General features: G+C 39.4%; 1 long non-coding RNA gene across 2 annotated transcripts in view; it reads left to right on the top strand.

Moving 5' to 3' along the window:
• Positions 1–19066, top strand: part of LOC105376454 (uncharacterized) — a 42321-nt gene extending 23255 nt beyond the window's left edge. Inside the window, exons 5-11 of one of the 2 annotated variants that reach the window (XR_930753.3) lie at positions 1398–1628; positions 3799–3940; positions 8427–8529; positions 8765–8849; positions 12704–12909; positions 15172–15318; positions 18574–19066. This is a non-coding gene — a long non-coding RNA (uncharacterized LOC105376454). The remainder of the gene's footprint in view (positions 1–1397; positions 1629–3798; positions 3941–8426; positions 8530–8764; positions 8850–12703; positions 12910–15171; positions 15319–18573) is intronic. The other variant, XR_930754.3, reaches the window with a different exon arrangement.
• Positions 19067–19655: the final 589 nt, after the last annotated feature.

The following is a 19655-nucleotide window of genomic DNA, read 5'->3' on the forward strand; positions in this document are numbered from 1 at the left end:
TAGATACAATCAAGTTTTCTTAATGAACTTTGTCGCCTTCCATTTTTATCATCTCCCTGCTGACTGGTTTTTTATTTACAGTAAATCTCTGTCTGGGGGGTGGCAACTGCCCGGATGCTTTTTTTTTTTCACCCAAGATGAATTTTTGTATGTGCAGCTATTATTTTGTTTCATCTTTACTTCAGTTTTTTCCTGCTCCTCCTATGGTTTATCACCATTGACCTACTCTGTGCCTTGCTTCTCAGTGTTTACTGCTTTTTGACGTTTATTTGTATTTCATGTGCTCTCTTCAGAGCATTTCTTTTTAAAACAAACAACAAAAAAGGGGGTTAAGTTGAAGTGCTGAAAATGCAAATCAAGGCACCTTGAGCAAAGGTTTCTCCCTCTGGGTGGAGGGGATATCTCAAGTTGACTAGGGAACAGTCAATAAGAGAGAGTAGCTGAGGAGCTGATTTTGAAGACCAAAACCCATTTCCTCTGAGGAAAGGAAATAGTCCAACACTATTTTAGATCATATTCCCCTGTCTCAGCTGCTTGGTTGCTGTTGTGGTAATCAGAAGCTACAAATAGATAAAATTTGCTAAAAGCATCTTTAAGAACCATCAGGAAATGTCTGGCCTTGCTCAGGACGTTTTGGAAACTAGCATGTTAGCAACTGATAGCATTATCCCTAATTTCCCTTCTACAAATACTGTTCATGGTAATTGTCACCCCTTTGTCAATCTCTGGCATTCTCAGAGATATCCTTTTAATTAATGTCCATATCCCCTGTTCTGCACACTCTTAGACTTCTGGATGGCCAAATCAGATTTGAAGGATTGATAGCAAGTTCTGCTAATGATTTTGATTAGTTCTATTTGTTTTGCATGTAATTATCTTTTCTCAGTAATTAGAATTTAGTCACAGTATTCATACTTGATATCATTTTGTATAAAGATTACCCTAGTTAAACTCAGATATATTTATAATTTCCAAACAATTATAGAACAATTTATCAAACCTAAGGTTGTTCTGTCTTTGAAAGGAAAAACAATGTTTTGTTTTAATTTGTTTTAAAATATGAAGTATTTCTTTTTTCATGTGAAAGACAGCTGATAACAAAAATCGATTGTGCTTTTGAAAATAATGTTTCCTGACAAATTAATTGCTGGGCAAAATTGATATTAATCTATGACAAAGTAACCTTTTCTTTGGAGAAGGATTTGAATGGGTTGGCCTTTTGAATGTGTTTATTAGATTGATCTCATTTTAGAATTGTAATTCTGCCATAGCTGGTGTCTAGAAAAGGAGGTATGGATATGTTTTTCCACCTGTGTTCATTATGTTTAATCAAACCTTGTATTTGTGGACTATAGCACTCAGCGAGTGTCTGAGCAGGTCTCCCTTTATCCCCATAGGGAAAATGAACCGGTTCTCTGGATTTATTCTAGTCAAACACAGAGCCAGGCTGAACAGGGCTTTTGCTGCTCCATCTTTGAGTTCCTGGGCAACTATGTGGCTCCCTGAGCTTTTGTTAAGAAAAGCAGAAGCACCAGGGCACCCAGATCCTGACGGCATGTGGTAGGTGGAGATTGCTCTCCTGCCCTGCAAGTTGGGCAAATAGGATGAAAATTTCTGCACGTTTGAAGGTATGTATTCTGTCAGCAATCTATTTCTGCAAGTTCTCTTTTGGAGGCATTAATGATGAATATGAGCTGCTTTCTACAAATCCTTTAAGGTCATCCTAATTGGCATTCTTTTTCTTGTTGTTATAAAGCCTTTCAGAGACTTACTACATATTCTTTTATTCGCAGCAGCATATTAATGACCCTTCCTTTGGAATTTGATTAAAGCAGCTTCAACTTAAATTTTTGTATGATTTCCTAGTAGTTACAGAGTGATCTAAACTAAAGTTCCCAGCCTGACACAACAGAGTAACTCCCCTGCATGTGCTTTATGGGCAGCCTGGTTCTTGTAAATGAAGCTTATAAGCTGGCAAGGATGCTGCCACTGGGGGAACTCACTGTCAGCACTAATGCTGCTGTCTAAACAGTTTTAACTCCCTTTGGCTTGGTTTTCCCACAGTCACTGCCGACTGTGACTGCTGATAAGCTGAATAAGGCTGGAGGTCAACAATCCGGACACAGCTCTTAATTATTAAAGGATCAACACGTCTTAACATGCACATCCTCTGAACTGGGCATCAAACAACAGGATCTCAAGGAGAGAAATGTTCCCTTTCTCTTAAATTAGCAAAAAAAAAAGAAAAAAGAACAAAAACATAAAACAAAGCAGTTTTCGGGGGAGGTATAGCGTTTTCCCTAGATCCTTTTGTTCGTTCGTTTGTTTTTGACACAGTGTCTTGTCCTGTCACCCAGGCTGGAGTGCAGTGATGTGACTCCAGCACATTGCAGCCTTGAACTCCTGGGCTCAAGTGATCCTCTCACCTCAGCCTCCCAAGTAGCTGAGATTACAGGTGTGTGCCACCTCACTCGGCTAATTTAAATTTTTTTTTTTTTTTTTTTTTTTTTTTTTGTAGAGATGGAGTCTCACAACGCTGCCCAGAGTAGTTTCCAACTCCTGGTCTCAAGCAATCTTCCCGTCTCGACTTCTCAAAAATACTGAGATTACAGACATGAGCCACTGTGCTCGGCCTCCTATGTCCTGATTCTAACTTTGGAGCTTAGACTGCTGAATAAGGAGGAGGCTTTTAATTACTCTCCAGACTCGAGCCTTTGTTTAATTGTATCTCTTTGTCAATGTGATCTATACTTAATCAATTTAACCTTGAATCAGCTTGATACCATGGGGCATTGTGAACCCAACAGCACAGGGCTGTGTCAATGTTTCATGTGTCTGCCATGAATCTGTGTCTTCTCTTAACCTAAATTAAACTCCTTAACATATAATTATCCATTCTACACGTTGAGCCTATCTCCAAGGTAAATGTTTCTGCATGGCTAAAAGCTGGTTTATAGCACAAAAACAAGCCCTCCTTTTTCTGCCTTCTCCCTGTCCCCACCACCAGAAAAATTGTGCATCCTTACTCAGAACTCTGTTCTTAGAGCTTCAGTGCCATAATGTTTCTAACTTTAGTGATTACATAGAAGTTAGCCAAAGGAAGTGTTTATTGCTCCATTTTCCTCTTTTTCTTTCTTTCCTTCCACAGCTTGAGAGGAAAATGTCAAGATTTGTTAACAGTAAAAAAATTGGACTTAATAAAATATTAAGAGACTACCCGGGCCAGGCACTGTGGCTCACACCTCTAATCCCAGCACTTTGGGAGGCCGAGGCGGGCAGATCACGAGGTCAGGAGATCGAGACCAAGACCACCCTGGCTTATACAGTGAAACCCTGTCTCTACTAAAAATACAAAAAAAATTAGCAGGGCGTGGTGGCAGGCACCTGTAGTCCCAGCTACTCGGGAGGCTGAGGCAGGAGAATGGCGTGAACCTGGGAGGTGGAGCTTGCAGTGAGCCAAGATTGCACCGCTGCACTCCAGCCTGGGCAAAAGAGCGAGACTCTGTCTCAAAAAAAAAAAAAAAAAAAAAAAGACTACCTAATTGAAATAGTTTACAATGCTACAGAAGGGAAAATAATGCTTCACAAAATTAGCAGCTGGGTGGGTTATCTCCAAATGTGTATTGCTTACGACATGATGAGACTATACTGAATGTTTGGCTGGAATGAGTAATCAGCAGTGTTGATTCCAAATCTTAGTGAGACCTGTGCCAAACCTTGGTTTCTGGGAGTCTTCACAAGCATCATGAATAGATGAAAGTTTTTATATTTAGTTGTTGTGCTGTTTCACTCCAATAGCAGAAAGAACAAAGAACAGAGACAGATGGGGAGTGGAGCAAGATGGTGGAATATGACTCTGTAGTGATCATCCACCCACAGAAACATCAACTTGAGTAACTATTCACATGCAAAAAACCTTCACAAGAGCTAAGGAAACTAGGTGAGAAATCACAGTACCTGGTTAAAGCATCATACTACAAAAAGACACATTGAAGAGGGTAGGAAGGATAGTTTTACAGTACCCATATCACCCCTCCCCCAACTCCAGGCAGCACAGTGTGGAGAGAGATACCATTTGCTTGATGGAAAGAGAAGGAAGTAAATATAGGAGTTTTCCTTGGACCCCAGTACTGGGCCTGCCAAAGTAAAACCCGGTGCCAGGCAGAATCTCTCAGCCCCTCACTCCAGGCTAGTACTTGAAGACTGAACCTCTAGAGCCATCCAGACACCACATGGGAATTCATATTCCCTGCAAAATGGACTTGAGGTTTAGCCTACATCACCATTGGTCAAATACAGTGGCTGTGGGTACCGAATAACCCACAGTGACAGATAGGCCTCTGTGGTTGGGGGCTTGAAATTCAGCTTAATGCTGCACCAGCCTCAGCAGTCAAGGGATTTCAGATTGGCTGCAGTGATCCTGGGTTTACAACGTCCCCTAGCACTGCAATAGCTGTGGCCATCACAGGCTTAGGGACTGCAATTAATGACCTGCCTAGAATTTCTAGACAGGCTTACTGCTGAAGAACATTCCCAGATAAAGCCAGACTACGAAAACTGGAATAAGTACCTACTTCTTCAATGCACAGACATTGCTGTATGACCGTAAGCATCAAGAACAGTCAGTGAAACATGATGTCATCAAATGGACAAAATAAAGTGCCAGTAACCCCAAAGAGATGAAGATGTATAAATTTCATGAAAAGGTATTCAAAATAGCTATTTTAAAGAAGCTCAATGAACTTCAAGAAAATATGAGAAAAATTCAGTGAAATGAGAAAACTATGAGTGACCAGAACAAGAAATTTAACAGAGAGATTGAAATAATAACAATTAAAAAAAAATCAAATCCTGGAGCTAAAAAATACAATAAGCCAACTGAAAAATGCAATAGAGAGCATCAATAGCAGAATTGATCAAGCAGAAGAAAGAATCTGTGAACTCAAAGACAGGCTTTTTGAAAATATATAGTCAGAAGAGAAAAAAGGAAAAAGGGTCAAAAATGAACAAGGCTTATGGGATTTATGGGATAGCATCAAATGAGCAAATCTGTGAGATATTGATGTTCAAGATGGAGTAGAGAAAGATAAAGGATAGAAAGTTTATTTAAAGAAATAACAGCAGCAAACTTTTCAAACCCAGAGAAAGGTATAAATATCCAGGTACAGGAAGGTCAAAAGTTGCAATCAGATTTAATACAAATAAGACTACTCCAAGATATATTGTAGTTAAAATGTCAAAGATCAAAGAGAAAGAGAAGATGCTGAAAGCATCAAGAGGAAAGAAGCAAGTCACATACAAGGGAGTTCTCAAACGCCTAGCAGACAGAGAAAGACAACTCAAAAAAACCATTATCACAAAATGGTCAATAAACATAGGAAAATGGCTTCAAACTAATCAATAAACTAGGAAATGCAAATTAAAACAATCTATCTATTTTTGCCTATCAAATTAGCAAATATGTAAGAAACAATAATATCCAGGATTGGTGAAAATACCAGGAGGTTACTAGAGTCAGACTGGTTTTGCTTCTTAGCTCCTCCTCTTACTAGCTGAGGGAACTTGGGCTTGCCATATAATTTCTCTAAGACTATTGTCCTCAGCTGTAAAATGCAGATAACATTAGTAATCACCTCACAGTCTTTTTGAGGGGATTAAGTGAAATAATGCTTATAAAGTGTTTAACGTCTCATCTGGCATATAGCAAATGCTCTGTTAATATTAGTATTGTGATTATTATTGTTATTGGAAGCTAGAATCCCAATACACTGATGGAGAAGTATAAATTGGTAAAACCTTCCAGAATAAAAATTTGATATATATATGAAGGCTTTAATATCGTGCATACATTTGACTTAATAATTCTACTCTATTAATTTGTTCTGAGGAAACAGGACACAATGATATGATTACAAAGATATCTTTTATGACTTTTTTATATTGACAAAAAATTGAAACAATTTAAATACCTAACAGTAAGGGAATGGCTAAAAATTATGGTTTGTCCTTCTACTAGAATTTCATTCAGGTGTTACAAAACATGATTTTTTTTTAAAGTTTCTAATAGCTTTATTTTTTATTATACTTTAAGTTTTAGGGTACATGTGCACAATGTGCAGGTTAGTTACATATGTATACATGTGCCAGGTTGGTGTGCTGCACCCATTAACTCGTCATTTAACATTAAAACATGTTTTTTAAAGAATATTTAATGGCTGAGAAAAATGATACTATGTGAAAATAGTGGCTATCATTGGTCAGTAAGACAAGATTACCTGTTATTTTTATTTTTTATTAATACTCATCTGTAGTTTAAATTTTTCCTGTAGTCAGTCAAATACTTTTTTGACATCTGTTGCATATTAGGTACTATGCAATGTGTCATAAATATGAAAGGGCACTGTACCCATGCAGCTTCCAATCCCTCCATTGGAATATTTGGAAGATGTGTTACTTTTATAATAAAGAGGATCATTTCTAAAACAAAAAGGGAAATTATATTAATTTGCAAGGGTGGCCATAACAAAGTGCTACAGAAATTTATTTCTCAGAGTGTGGGTGTGTTTTGTTTTTAAGAGACAGGATCTCCCTCCATTACCCAGGCTGGAGTGCATTGGTGCAATTAGAGCTCACTGCAGCCTCAAACTCCTGGTCTCAAGTGATCCTCCCAGCTTGGCCTCCTAAAGCATTGGGATTACAGATGTGAGCCACCGTACCCAGCCTATCTCCCTTTTAATGAAACTAAAATTGGGTCTATATAATAAAAGAAGCTTCTGTTTACAGAGTTACATGACCATTTTCACTATTGCTGTTCATCAATTTCTCATGTTCCCTGCCACACCCAAAGGCAGATTTTATTATCAAAGGATGCATCTGAATCTAGTCAGATACTAGAACACCAGCACCTACCTCAGAGGGTCCTCCCAGAGTGCCTAATTCTGGGCTGAGATAGGATTCCTGGACTACACAGGGACCCCCAAGTCTGCAACAGACTTGAAGTGCCAGGGAAACCCTGGACTTCCACTGTTTTCCAGAGGTGATTTAGAACTGCCTATATAAGGTCACCTTCACCTAAACTGAAATCACAGCTGCCAATGCTGTGGCTTTCGAGGACAGGTCCATGTTCTTAGTCTTCATAAAGGGGCTCTCAAAGGGACTAAAAATATGCAATTGAAGGGAAAAGGAAGAAATACATCATTTCTCAAAAGAGAAACTATCAAGGAAGAATATTATCACATGGTTTCTGTTATGGGCTGAATTATCTTCCCCAAGAATTCATATGCTGAAGTCCTAACCCACAGAACCTCAGAATGTGACTGTATTTAGAAATAGAGCCTTTAAGGAGATACTTTATTTAAAATAAGGTCTTATAGATGGGCCCTAATCCAATACGACTGGTGTCTTTATAAGAAGAGGAAATTTGGACTTAGTTACAAAAGGAAAACCACACGAAGTCCCAGGGAGAAGACAGCTATCTACAAGCTGAAGAGAGTGTCTCAGAAGAAATCAACTCTGCCAACACTTTCAAGACCAGCCCGGGCAACAGAGTGAGACTTTCCTTTTTATTTAAAAATAAAAGATATATTTTTAAATGGATATAAACTTAAGAAAATGGAAATAGGTGCTTCTCCTCAGGTGGAGGATAACCATCTTTTCAGATTAAAGTAGAAGCAGAAGTGAACCTAGAGAGTTCAACCCCTTGTTTCAAAGGTTGGGAAATCAGCTCACCAAGGCCTCTGCATTTGCCTCAAGTCACACATCTGATGAGTGGCAAATGTTGATCTCAAGTCCAGGGATCAAGATACTGGTCCAGGGTCATTTCCATGATACTCTGTGAGGGATAGAGGAAGCCTATGTGCTGGAGGAAGCATTGGACCTGGGAGTTAGGAACCCTGAGGTTCCACCCCAGCTGGGCCACTAAGCAGCTACATAACAATGGGCAACCTGGGTCTTCTCTCTGGGCTCCTGTTTTTTCTTTATTTTGAAAATGAAAGTTGGATAATATAGTCCCTCCCATCTCTAACATCCCCCAAGTCTTTCATGGGTGCCACTCATTCTATATTCAGGCAGGCAGAGTTGGCAAGGGGTCCAGATGTGTTCGGTAGAGAATGGTTACATGACAGTGTCTAGCATACTAAAGGAAAGACCAGTGGCCTCAAGGCTTGTCTAAGGAATTAATAAAGATTGAGAATTAGGAGGTGCTATGGCTTGACTGTTTGTGCCCCCTCCAAAATTCACATGTTGAAATTCAGTAACCAATGTGATAGTATTAAGAGGTGAGTCCATTAGGAGGTGATTAAGTAATGAGGGCAGTACCCTCAAGAATAGTACTAACAACATTTTAAAAGGGCTGGAGGGAACTAGCTACATCCATTTGCTCTTTTGTCCCTTCTGCCATGTGAGGACACAGTGTTTTTCTCTTCTAGAGGATGCAGCACTCAAGGCACCACCTTGGGAGCAGAGATCAGGCCCTCACCAGACACCAAACTTGTTGGTGCCTTGATCTTTGACTTCCCAGCCTCCAGAACTGTAAGAAACATATTTCTAATTTTGATTAATTACCCAATCTTAGGCATTTTGTTATAGCAACCCAAACAGGCTAAGACAGGAGGTTAAAAAAAGATTTTAAAAGATAATAAATTACAAAAGAAAATAAATGAGATTTGCAATCTTGTTCACCTTCACTTACGTTAAAAAAGTGAGCTTCCACCTCACTACTCACATATTAATTAAATGCTGACACATTTTGCTTGCTTTCTTACAGGTGAATTCCTGTAACACAATCTTCACTTATGTTTTTATTAACACGTAAAACATCTTTACCTCCACTGTCTTCTCTTCATAAAAAGGTATGCTACTAGGTTGTCGTGCTAAATGTCAAGAAATTGATGAAAGTCATTTTAACTCCTCCTTTTGGCTAGGTCTTCTTTTCTTCTTTCTTTTCTTTTCCTCCTCTTCTTTCTTCTTCAGTGCGTGATTAACTTTGTTTTCAAAAAGTATTATAGCCTTACCAAAATTTTCATTAGCATTCCCCATGCACATTTTAATTAAAGAAAACTCATGTTTTGCTTGAGTCACTGGGGAAATGAAAGGTATAATCTAATGCTAAACGTGCTTGTACTTTGCATTAATTTAAACTGGACTCCCTTCTCTGATATGGGAACAGAAACAAGGCCACAGACTAACACCCACTCTCAGAAAAAATTCATAAGTAGCACTGTTCCAAGACTATTTCCAATTATCTCATGTCCTTTTTGGTTGTAAAGGACAAAGATCTAAATGAGGCATTGTACTTTCCCGTATGAAACAGAGCATTAATTGCTACCATTTTTATATGCTGCTGGAGTGTACGTGAGGTATAACACATATATATCTACAAGGTGCCTACATCAATTGTACAATTTTTACTTGTGTTACTTGCATTAGTACTTTTACTAAATAGATGTTGTTAATTTCATTCATTTTACAAAAATTGAAATTATAAACCATCATCAGGCTTTTCTTTAAATATATGGAAACGTATTAAACTGTTTTTCTACTTGTCAAACTATCTTTCATCATACAGGGTGATTATGAAAACAAGAGGCCCTTGGAATTTCCCGCTGCTTTTTTATTCTACCAACAAAGGAAATTTATCCATTCTCTTTAGGTATAAACTTCCTTGCTGTAATCTTTAAAACTTTTATTTATTTCTTCTTCTTCTTATAGAGAGGAGGTCTTGCTGTGTTGCCCAGGCTGGTCTCAAACTCCTGGCCTCCAAGTGATCCTCCTGCCTTGGTCTCCTAAATCACTAGGATTACAGGTGTGAACCACTGCTCCAGGTTCTCCATTGCTGTGATATTTTAAGCACACTATTGCTGGCTTGAAATTACTGTGATTTTAAACATGTACTGAAAGCCTTACTCTGTAGCATCAGATCCAAGAGCCTATATTTCTAGTGACTTTGATTGACTTGGGCCACTTTTTTTTTTAATGCTTTTAGAAACCTTTCATTTCTGTTATTTTGGTCAGTATGTCTTAGAAATCACTCAAGATGGTGAGTAAATTCTGAGATAACTCTCTCGATCTACCAGACAATGATGTTATAAAAGCATCCTGCTTGTGAACTATGGTTCTTTGGCAAATAATCCTGAACTAGCTAGGAAGCTGCTGAGGGCAAAAAAGAATTAACAGTTATAGGGCATGGTCCCTGCCAAGGTCACATTCCTTCCACCGTTTGTTGTGGGCATCCAGGGCTTGCTTCCACAACCTGTGGCCACTGAACCTAAGAAGCAAAGTAAGAGTGGATGAAGTGTCCAAAGAACAAATAGTGGATGAGATCCACTTATCGTTGGTTCATAATGAGTGCACACCATAATCTGCAGGCAATTTGTTAATTCCCCATGAGAAATTACCATCACAGAGACCTGACATACTCCAAATTTGCATATCATTCTCCCTGTAGACAGACTTACATGGGAAACCAAATAATAATTACAAAATTGCTACATGGTTATGGAATTACAAAATAGGAAGTTAATGACATTTGGCTAAAAGAGCTGGATATGTCCATTTCATAAATGGGATTTTCTTACTAATGGGACCATAGTGTTTGAAGTCCATTAGTGAATATTCCTTCATTTCTGAGTATGTTTGGATAAGCACTGCAGCATTTACATCAATAACTCACCTTGTCCTATGTTTCCAAACTGTCCAGCTCCTTTAATGATTGATGCATTCTTTATTTAGACATGTCTATACATTTAATAATATTATGGTGAAATTATCCCGGCCTGGGAGCCATTCTGTCTCTTTAAAATGATGGTCATTCATTCATCAAATATTTATGGAGTGTCTCCTCTGTTCCAGACCATGCATTCTGTATTAGGCATACAGCAGTAAGTGAGACAAACAAGTTATAGAGTCTAGTGGGGGAAATAACAATTAAACAAGCTATTACAGTAATGCATGATAAGTGTAACAGAATAAAAAGAGCAAGGAGCAACGGATCACCTTGCCTCTGCTCTAGGGGACTCAAGAGGGCTTCTGGGAGAAAGTGATGCCAAATTCGAGACTTGAAAGATGGAATTGGGAAAGGTAGAAAAGGTTTTTTGATAAAGGGAATGTCCTGTGTGAAGGCCCAGAGGAGAGAGTGCAAGCTACCTTTAAGGCACTGAAAGAATGTTTTTAGGGCTGTAATTGAAGGTGAAGATGATAATGGCTGTGAGCTAAGCAGGACCAGATCATCAAGGATCTGATTAGACCTGTTAAGGAGACTGGATTCTATCCTAAAAGCAATGGAACAGACTGATTGGTTTTAAACCTCATAATGATTAGGTTTGCAGTTCAGAAAGATCTTTCTGGCTGTAGCACACAGAAAGGATCTGAGAGCAGAAAGATTAGAAAATATAAAGCCTATTAGGGGGCCATGGTGTGATTTCGGGCAAGAATGGATGGTGGGTTAATAGGATTATTCAAGGTAGTGGCAGTTAAGATGGAGAAAAATGGTGTTTTGAGATATATTTATGAGGGAGAACAGCTAGAACTTGATGTCTAAATGAATGTGAAAGGTGAAGGTGATGAGGAATCAAGAGTGACTCTAGGTTCTGCTGAGATAGGGAATACTGGGCAAGACTGGGTGTGGGGAGGAGATGAATATAGGCCAGGAGATGTTGTGCTTGAAGTGTTTGCCATGGAAGACAGTTGGATACATAAATCTGCAGCCCAGGAGAAATGTCTGGGCTGGAGATAAGACTTTGGAATCATTAGCAGAAGGAAAGTCTTTAAAGCCACAAAAATAGATGAGTTCACTTGTGAAAAATATGGAGAATCTGAAAAGAAACCAGCATTAAATCTCAATTGGAAAAAGAGCAGGCTGAAAGGTAAAAGGAGGTGGCTCAGATGAATGGGCAATGTGACCCTTAAATTCTGTCATGCAGGTCTGCTTTGTGGAACCATGTTCCTATTCCAATTATATATATTTTTTATTTCAATAGCTTTTGGAGTACAAGTGGTTTTGGGTTACATGGATGAGTTGTATAGTGGTGAAGTCTGAGATTTTAGTGCACCTGTCACCCGCTGTTCCAATTTTCTTAGCATAGTTGTCTATGCTAAGAAAACTTTTCCCTCAGAAAATATTCTAAGGGAGAACTAAAGAAAGGTTCATGCTTTATATGGTATGTTTAGACCTAGAGAAGCAAGGATGAGGAGAAAAGAAGAAAGGAAAGATGAAAATGAATGCAAGATGCGTAGCCATGCTTGCTACCTCTTCGTGGTGAGTGGGAAGCAGCTCAGGCTGTGCCCACTCGGCACTTCCCTGGCTGGGCTTCAGTGAGGCACTACGCCTCGGAGTAGTCTTTGAGCAAAAGGAAAGAGGAGGGATTCGTGTCTCCCTCTCTGCCATCTCTTGTTTCCTACTAGTAAAGGTTAGCCCAGGTTTTTCAGTTACGGTTTAACCAGAGAAGCAGAACCAAGAGAAAGATTCTACATGGGATTTGTCACAGGGAATTGGCTTATGCAGTTGTGGGAGCTGGTAAAATGGTTTTCAAAAAGCTGTCTCCATATGTAATGCTGGAGCTTCAAGTCCACTGGGCAGGCGATCTGAAAGGGAAGATCATGAGCAGGCTGTGAGCCCTTGAGGGTGGGCTGAAGCTGCAGCCATTTTTGTTGCCTCTCACTCTCATGAAGAGGGTGGTCTTGTGCAAACTGGAGCTCTTCCTCACAGAGCTAAACACGTACACCTGGCCCAGGAGTCAGAAAAGCTGAAGCCAAACTGGGAAGGTAGATCAATTTCAGGCCCACATGCTGCTTCAGGCTAATGTGGTGAATTACGCCATCAGCAACAGGGATCAGCTGCAAAATGGCCACTGCCTGCCTTCTGCCTTCTAAATCTCAAAATGGCCACTGCCTTCCTTCTCCACTCCAAATCAGGTAAGTGTCTCCTAGTGACCCAGCCTGGGGCATTGCTTTTAGAATCCCAATTCTCTCCTATTTTCCTCGAAGCCTCTTTCTTGGACCAATTCTTGAAAGCACAGGACCGCGTGGGAATTTAAACTCCCCATATTTCTGAGTTGCATCATCTGGAATCTACAATTCTGGTGCTTCAGCCAAGTCTCGAATGATGGGGGACGTCAAATTGTGGGTGACTGCCCATTGGGAGAGCTCTACACGTCCAGAGCAAGTGTTTGCTTGGTCCTTTGCTGTAGCAGAGTGTGCTGGGAGGCAAGGATATTGGAGGGAATCTGAGTAGGCTGATAGAATACAGCTATCTGTTGCAATATTTCAATGCATAATAGGACCTTTAAGTCTGAGAGGAACATGTTTTAAAACTAGTCCAGAAGACTTCAAAAGGCTTATTTTTGTTGAGTAAAGAAACTTCTTATTTCAGACACCTGCCACCTGAAACTTACAATTTTTTGATGTTAACCTCAGAACGATTATGATAGTGTTCATGCCAACTGAAGGCAGCTTTTATGCATATACTACGTTGCTTCTGTGAGAATGAATTAAGTGGTAAATAATTATGTAGACTTGAGTGTATTCATTCCACTTAATAAAGCAGCCCAGATTTAGTCATAGACCAACTTCAAATATGGTTAGTGGTAATAACAATGCTTGGCTCAAAATTAAAGAGAAGCATGGGAATCGTCAGATTATTGAAAAACAATTTTTTCCCAAAAATCTCTCTTCTTCCAGCTTGCATGTGCATGTCTCTGACACAATCTTTGCAGAAACACAGTAAGAACAAACAGGAGAGATAGTTTCTGTGATTAGGGCATTTATAGAAAGAGGATATTCTATCAAGGTCTATGCAGATTTATTTCCTTTACCTGAACAGTTCTGTGTGATTTCTATTCTGAGTTACTGCCTGTGACAGGTGATGTTTATATAAATAAAACACCCTGTGGGCTGAGGCATTAGTGAATTCTGCTGTGGCTTTTACCCAACCTCAACTCCCTGCCTTTGCTACCATGCACTTCTCTCTCACTTAAGAAATTTTATCAGAATGCATGTGAGCCAGAGAGAGTTATAATATAGATAATGTGAAATGATAACTTATATAAAAATTAAATCATTGGTAAATGTTAGTACTTTAACACTAAAGTTTTTATATACATGGATAGCATGATATTAATATATCACACATGTTTATAACAAGGGGGTGGTACCACTCAAAGGGTTAGAACTACAAATTCTAAAGCTGGATTTGAGTGGCAATAACCTTCCATTCAGCTTATCCAATGTTCCCATGAACAAAGCTTACTGATAGGATTACTTCTTTTGATTTGAATGAATGGTTGTGGGGCTGAATAGGGATTAAAACCCCAATCACCAGTATTTTTTCCTGGTTTAAAATATACTTTATATGGTTTTAAAAGTATCAAGTAATCAGTCAGTGTCATGACTTTCTTGTGGAGTATACATCCATTTTAATTCCTTGATTAACTTAGAGTGAAAACAAGCTGTGTGGTACTTTTAGAAAACTTCTAGAAAGCGAGAAAGGCCATGGGCAACATCGTGCTGTTGAAGGTTGTTTGTATCCACCCTTCAGCTCCACTTCTGCACCTACAAGAGTCCTGCAGGTATTAGACAAGGCTCTTTTGATTGCAAGTCACAGAAATCTCACCAGCTAAATTAACAACCCCCTCCACAAAAAGGAATCTATCAGCTCTTATAACTGAGAAGTCTAGGAGACTTTCTTTTCACATGGCTAAATTCAGAGACTCAAGAGATACAAGGTCTCTCTCTCTCTCTCTCACACACACACACACACACACACACACACACACTCTTTTCTCAAAATCACAGCACCAATGTATAAAGAAAAGTTTATTTGATAGCTCTGGTGGCAGAGCCTCTGGGAGCATCTCATGACTGAGCTTGTGATATACTCAACCTTGAAGCAATCATTGAATATTGTCAGAGAATGCGGTGTTCCAACTGACCAACTTAAGTCAGGTGGTGATTGGCAACCCCACTACATAATAGAATATTAACTTTACCCAGAGAGATTACTGACCTTTGTCCCAGCTCCTGGGAGGAAACCCCTAAACCTTTAGAACTTCCAGAGTGATGGGAGTGTCTTTGCTATTCATGGTGGACCCCTCAGACCTAAACCTGATAGTTTATGCTAATGAGGTGACTCAGGGTGGTGGGATCGCCATTCCAGAAAGACCAACTGTGTGATTACAGAATTGGGCCTTTGGGCCACAGGATATAAGTCTGACCTCCAGAGAGACAAGAAGAGGGTGCTGGAAGTTGAGTTCAGCTATGTGGTCAATGATTAAGTCATGCCTATGTAAGAAAACCGCAATAATCACTCTGGACACTAAAGTTCAGGTGAGTTTCCCAGGTTGGCAGTACTGGGAGTGTTTTGTTACATTTTGATAATGGGAGTGTAAGGCATCCTTGACGATGATGAAAACTTTATATCTGGAATCCTCCCAGAACTCATCCTATATGCCTCTGCTTCTAATTTATATTCTTTTGCTATAATACAGCTGTAATCATAAGTATAGTGTTTGTCTGAATTCTTTGAGTTGTCCTAGCAGATTATCAAGCCTAAGGGTGGTCATAGAAACCCCTGAATTTGTAGCCAGTTGGTCTGAAGCGAAGGTGGTGGTGGGGGACCCCAAAACTCACAATTGGTGTCTGTATTGAGGCCAGACCTGTGACGTCTGTTTCCTTAGACTTTGAAGCTTGATATTCTCATTGCAGTTGGTGTCAGAAGTTTTGGCTAGATGTAGCAGTCTGGAAGACTGTGCCCTTAACTGTGAGTTTACCTAAGTCTGGTACCCACTGATGGAGAAAGGCAGTTTCAGAAAGAAAAAAAATGTGGGCAGGCAAAACCAACAAACTGAATCAAACCAACCCAAATCAAATAACCAGCTGCCTCCCTTTGTAAGAGAACCCATCACTCCCAGATGTATGGCCTGTAATAATGTCTCATGACTACTAAGACTTTTCAGAAAATGCTTCCCAGAACCTATAACCTTGGGCATTTTGTGTTTTGTACCTTCCCTGACTGGTGGTTCTGAAATTAAAATTTGAGTTGCATTACTAATTACTAATAACAAATTAATGTGCTACCATTTTTTCTGATGTTTACTTTTGAACAATCTTTAATGCTTAACCCAAGTCAGGGAGTAATCTAGAATGTAAGCTTCTCAAAGGCAGGCACCTGTTTGAAAACTGCCAGGTGCCAAGGTAGTTAATTTGAACAATGGGCCAAACAATAAGGCCTTTATTTACTTATTGCAACAGTACAAGCAAGAGACCAATAAGAGAAGGTGCTGGCTTCCCCATTGTTCCATTTTTGTGTTTCTAGGAATGGTTCACACAGGAAAATCATCTCATTGCTAAAGGGACACTGAACAAAAGGCTCCTGCTGTTTTATGGAGTGGGATATTGGAGGAGGCAGAGAAGGGCTAGGAGTGGGAAAAGTACTGAGAACTGAGTCACAGTGGAAAAAGGTGTCTTTAGCTTTAAGCCCCTCCTCTTGCCCCACACCCATTAGGAAGTCTTAGCAGAGGCATCTGAACAGTGTCTCAGCTGAGCCCTCCCACCCGCTTCCCGAAGGTAAGCAGGCCTCCAACTGGAGTCACCTAGGCTAGGAAAATGGGTATGTGTAAGAGCATGTCCAGCCAGGGGCATGCACCTGAGTCCCTGAGTGCAGCTTCCTTCAGAGGATGCAACGCTTTGGCTGTGCACCAACTCTAGTAAGGGGAGGATCACTCCTCCCGCTCATGCCTTGTGATGCCTGCCAGGTGAAGTCTTTGTGATTGGCTAAGGTCTGTCTTGAAAGAGCACATGTAGGATTTTGGCTCAAAGTCAGACACCTCAGTATCCTTGTCTGTTCCTTAATGTATCATAAGTTTCTAAAGTAGTGCTCGGCACATAGTTGGTGCTCAGTAACTGTTATTTTTATAGGTGCTAACATGGGTAGAGCCACTGCAGATACTGTAGGGGTTATTCCGTGGATCCTAATGTTGCCAAATGTTAGAGCAGCTGGCTCCAAAATTGATGTGGTCCAGTAAGCATGGGGTGATGGGTCCTGCCAGGTTTCCAGCAGAATGAACACAGTGAAAGGTAGAATTGTGGTCTGCAACTGGAATATAGCTAAAAGACAAGCGCTGGCAAAAGAAAAAAAGAAGTCAAGAAATGAATCAATGGTTATAGCAGTGCGCTTTTGTGCCAACTGGATGGCCATGTAGCTTTATAATTCTAAACTCTCATTTGAGGAAGGCAGATTAGATTATGAAAGTTGTAACAACTCTGTGCACCTTTTGCCATTTGTCCTTTGGACTCATTCACAATGTCATGGTCATAGTACTCTTTGTTCCCTATATATCGGCAGAGGAAATATCTTCCTATCTCTGACTATGGCATATTCTCATTTAAGGAGAGGGCTCTGCTGATGATTGCATGCGGCTCCCCCATCTGTCCCTCCAGCTTGTGTGTTTGTCCAAATTCAGAGCTATAACTCACAGTTTTCCTCTGCAACATGGAGTACCTTTCATTGCTCAGTGTTAACTCACTGAATTGAAGGGATTAAAGAGACAACTTTTCTAAACAAGAAAAGCCTCTTATGTTGAATGCTTCTTGAAAATTTGCATATTTTCATTTCATTGCTTTATAAATTATTACCTGGAAGTCATATCTTTGTAGTCTATAAACAATGTGATGAAGTTCAATATTTTTCTCTAACGGATTTGTTTTTAAAGAAACAAAGCTTGTATTCAAAGATTTCACAGATGTTTCCTATGATCCTGTGTTATTTAAAACTCATTCATTAAACACACCTGATGAATAGATCTATTACATTTTCTTAGCTGATTAAAAGTTCATTTTAGAAGGATGGAATGAATTATCACACAATGATTTCATTGCAATACATCTTTGTAGGTGTCCAGCATTATAAGGAATTGAGTTACAAATTGCTCTACAAATTGACAGGCTAGCAATCATTATTTTTCCATGTATTAGCTTGAGTCAATCTTTGATCTCATCATAGTTTCAATGGTAGAGAAGATGGAGGTGGTGAAGCGTTATTATTTTTCCAGCACAGAAAATTATGCCACAAAATAAAACATGTACAGGGTTGTCATAATGGCCCCAATGGTGATGACAGGAAAAAAGAATAGTTGCAGCTATCCTTCAGTGCACAGTGAAATAGTGAACAATTTGTTAAATATTCCCTGGAGTCAATTAAACTGGCATATGATCAGTTTGGAGGCTGCCAAGCCTCAGTGGGAGCCAATTAGAATTCACCAAAAATGACAATGGATGAATCTGAAAAAACAGTGTTAGATTTATGAGGGAAAGCAAACACATCATTGAGCCAAGAATAATCTTGGTGAGCACTCTCTAAAAGAGATTGGTAAATAGGTTGTATAGTGGTATCATGTTCACAGTGTTTCAAATGTTTCTTCTGCAATATTTTAAGCCATTACTGCAAAAAAATTAAATTAGTCTGATTTAGCCTACACAACATGAGAGAATCATTCTGCACATTGCAGCCATTATTAATTTTGTTCCAAAAGCAGCCTTGCATGAAAGATTAATTTTTCTTTTCTTTTTGGATTTAAACTACAGATAAACACTACAGATTGCTACAGATGAATGCTACTGACATGCTAAAGACTATATGACAATTCCTTTTAAAGTCAGACACTCAATTGTGAAAGATGTGTGAACAATCCAATGATGGATGTCCGTTAGTTCAGTGCTGTCAAGCTGAGTTACTACTCCACATCTCTGATACTGATGCTGTTTTTGCAGTCATGATTGAGTCGTTGAAGAAAAAAGCACTCTACAGAGTTCTGCCCAACTGTGTCCAAACAAGCAGCAACTTGAAATATCATTGGCTTACTCAGCAGCATCAGAACCCACAAAGCAAAGAGGTTAGATCCATCCAAGAGACTTTTCTGCAGCAGTAAATGGATTTGCCCTCTTTAGAGCAGGGAGCACAGCTCCAACACAATTATTCTTATTGGAACAGACTAAGGAATTTACTTCAAATGAGGTTGTTGGTTGTCCTGTGAAAGCTGTGTCAGAATAAATATTCAACTGCTCTTTGGAGGCATAATTTGTTAGCCCGTGAATCATTTGTGACCCATGAGCTGCATATAGCTGACTTTGTTTAAATGGAGGGAAAACTTCTTTCATTCTAGCAAAACTTGTATAAAGCTCAGGTATAGAGAAAACACTTTAACGTTCAGTTCTTTCCAAAGGGGCCATTTTTATATGCCAGATGTCCTGAAGCAATAAACTTTGTTACTTGTTCACAATAAATTTTGTTAAGGGAAAATTTCCAAATGACAGATGTCAACAGTAAACATCCACAACAGTTTAATGAAGATGTGGCTTTGAAATGTATAATTGTAGGGTAACAGTTTAAATGCAAGGCCAGTACTGTTACAATTTGACAAGGTGTGATGCTTTTCAGATTTTTTGGGGAGAGACATTGTAAATTCCTTACAGGAATATGTAGTTCATCTTTCATCGTTTCTAAATCTCTCTGAACCTAAGATAGTGCTTGAGCCTAACACTCAGGAGATGCTTGGTAATCAAAGAGATAATGATTATGCCCCCAATGCTTTTTATAGGGTTGTTTGGCTGACTGAGGCAAAATTTAGGGTGATTGGTATATGCCACGGGAAGTAGGAATAAGGCTG

The sequence above is a fragment of the Homo sapiens genome, chromosome 10, assembly GCF_000001405.40.
Source record: "Homo sapiens chromosome 10, GRCh38.p14 Primary Assembly".
Lineage (NCBI taxonomy): Eukaryota > Metazoa > Chordata > Mammalia > Primates > Hominidae > Homo > Homo sapiens.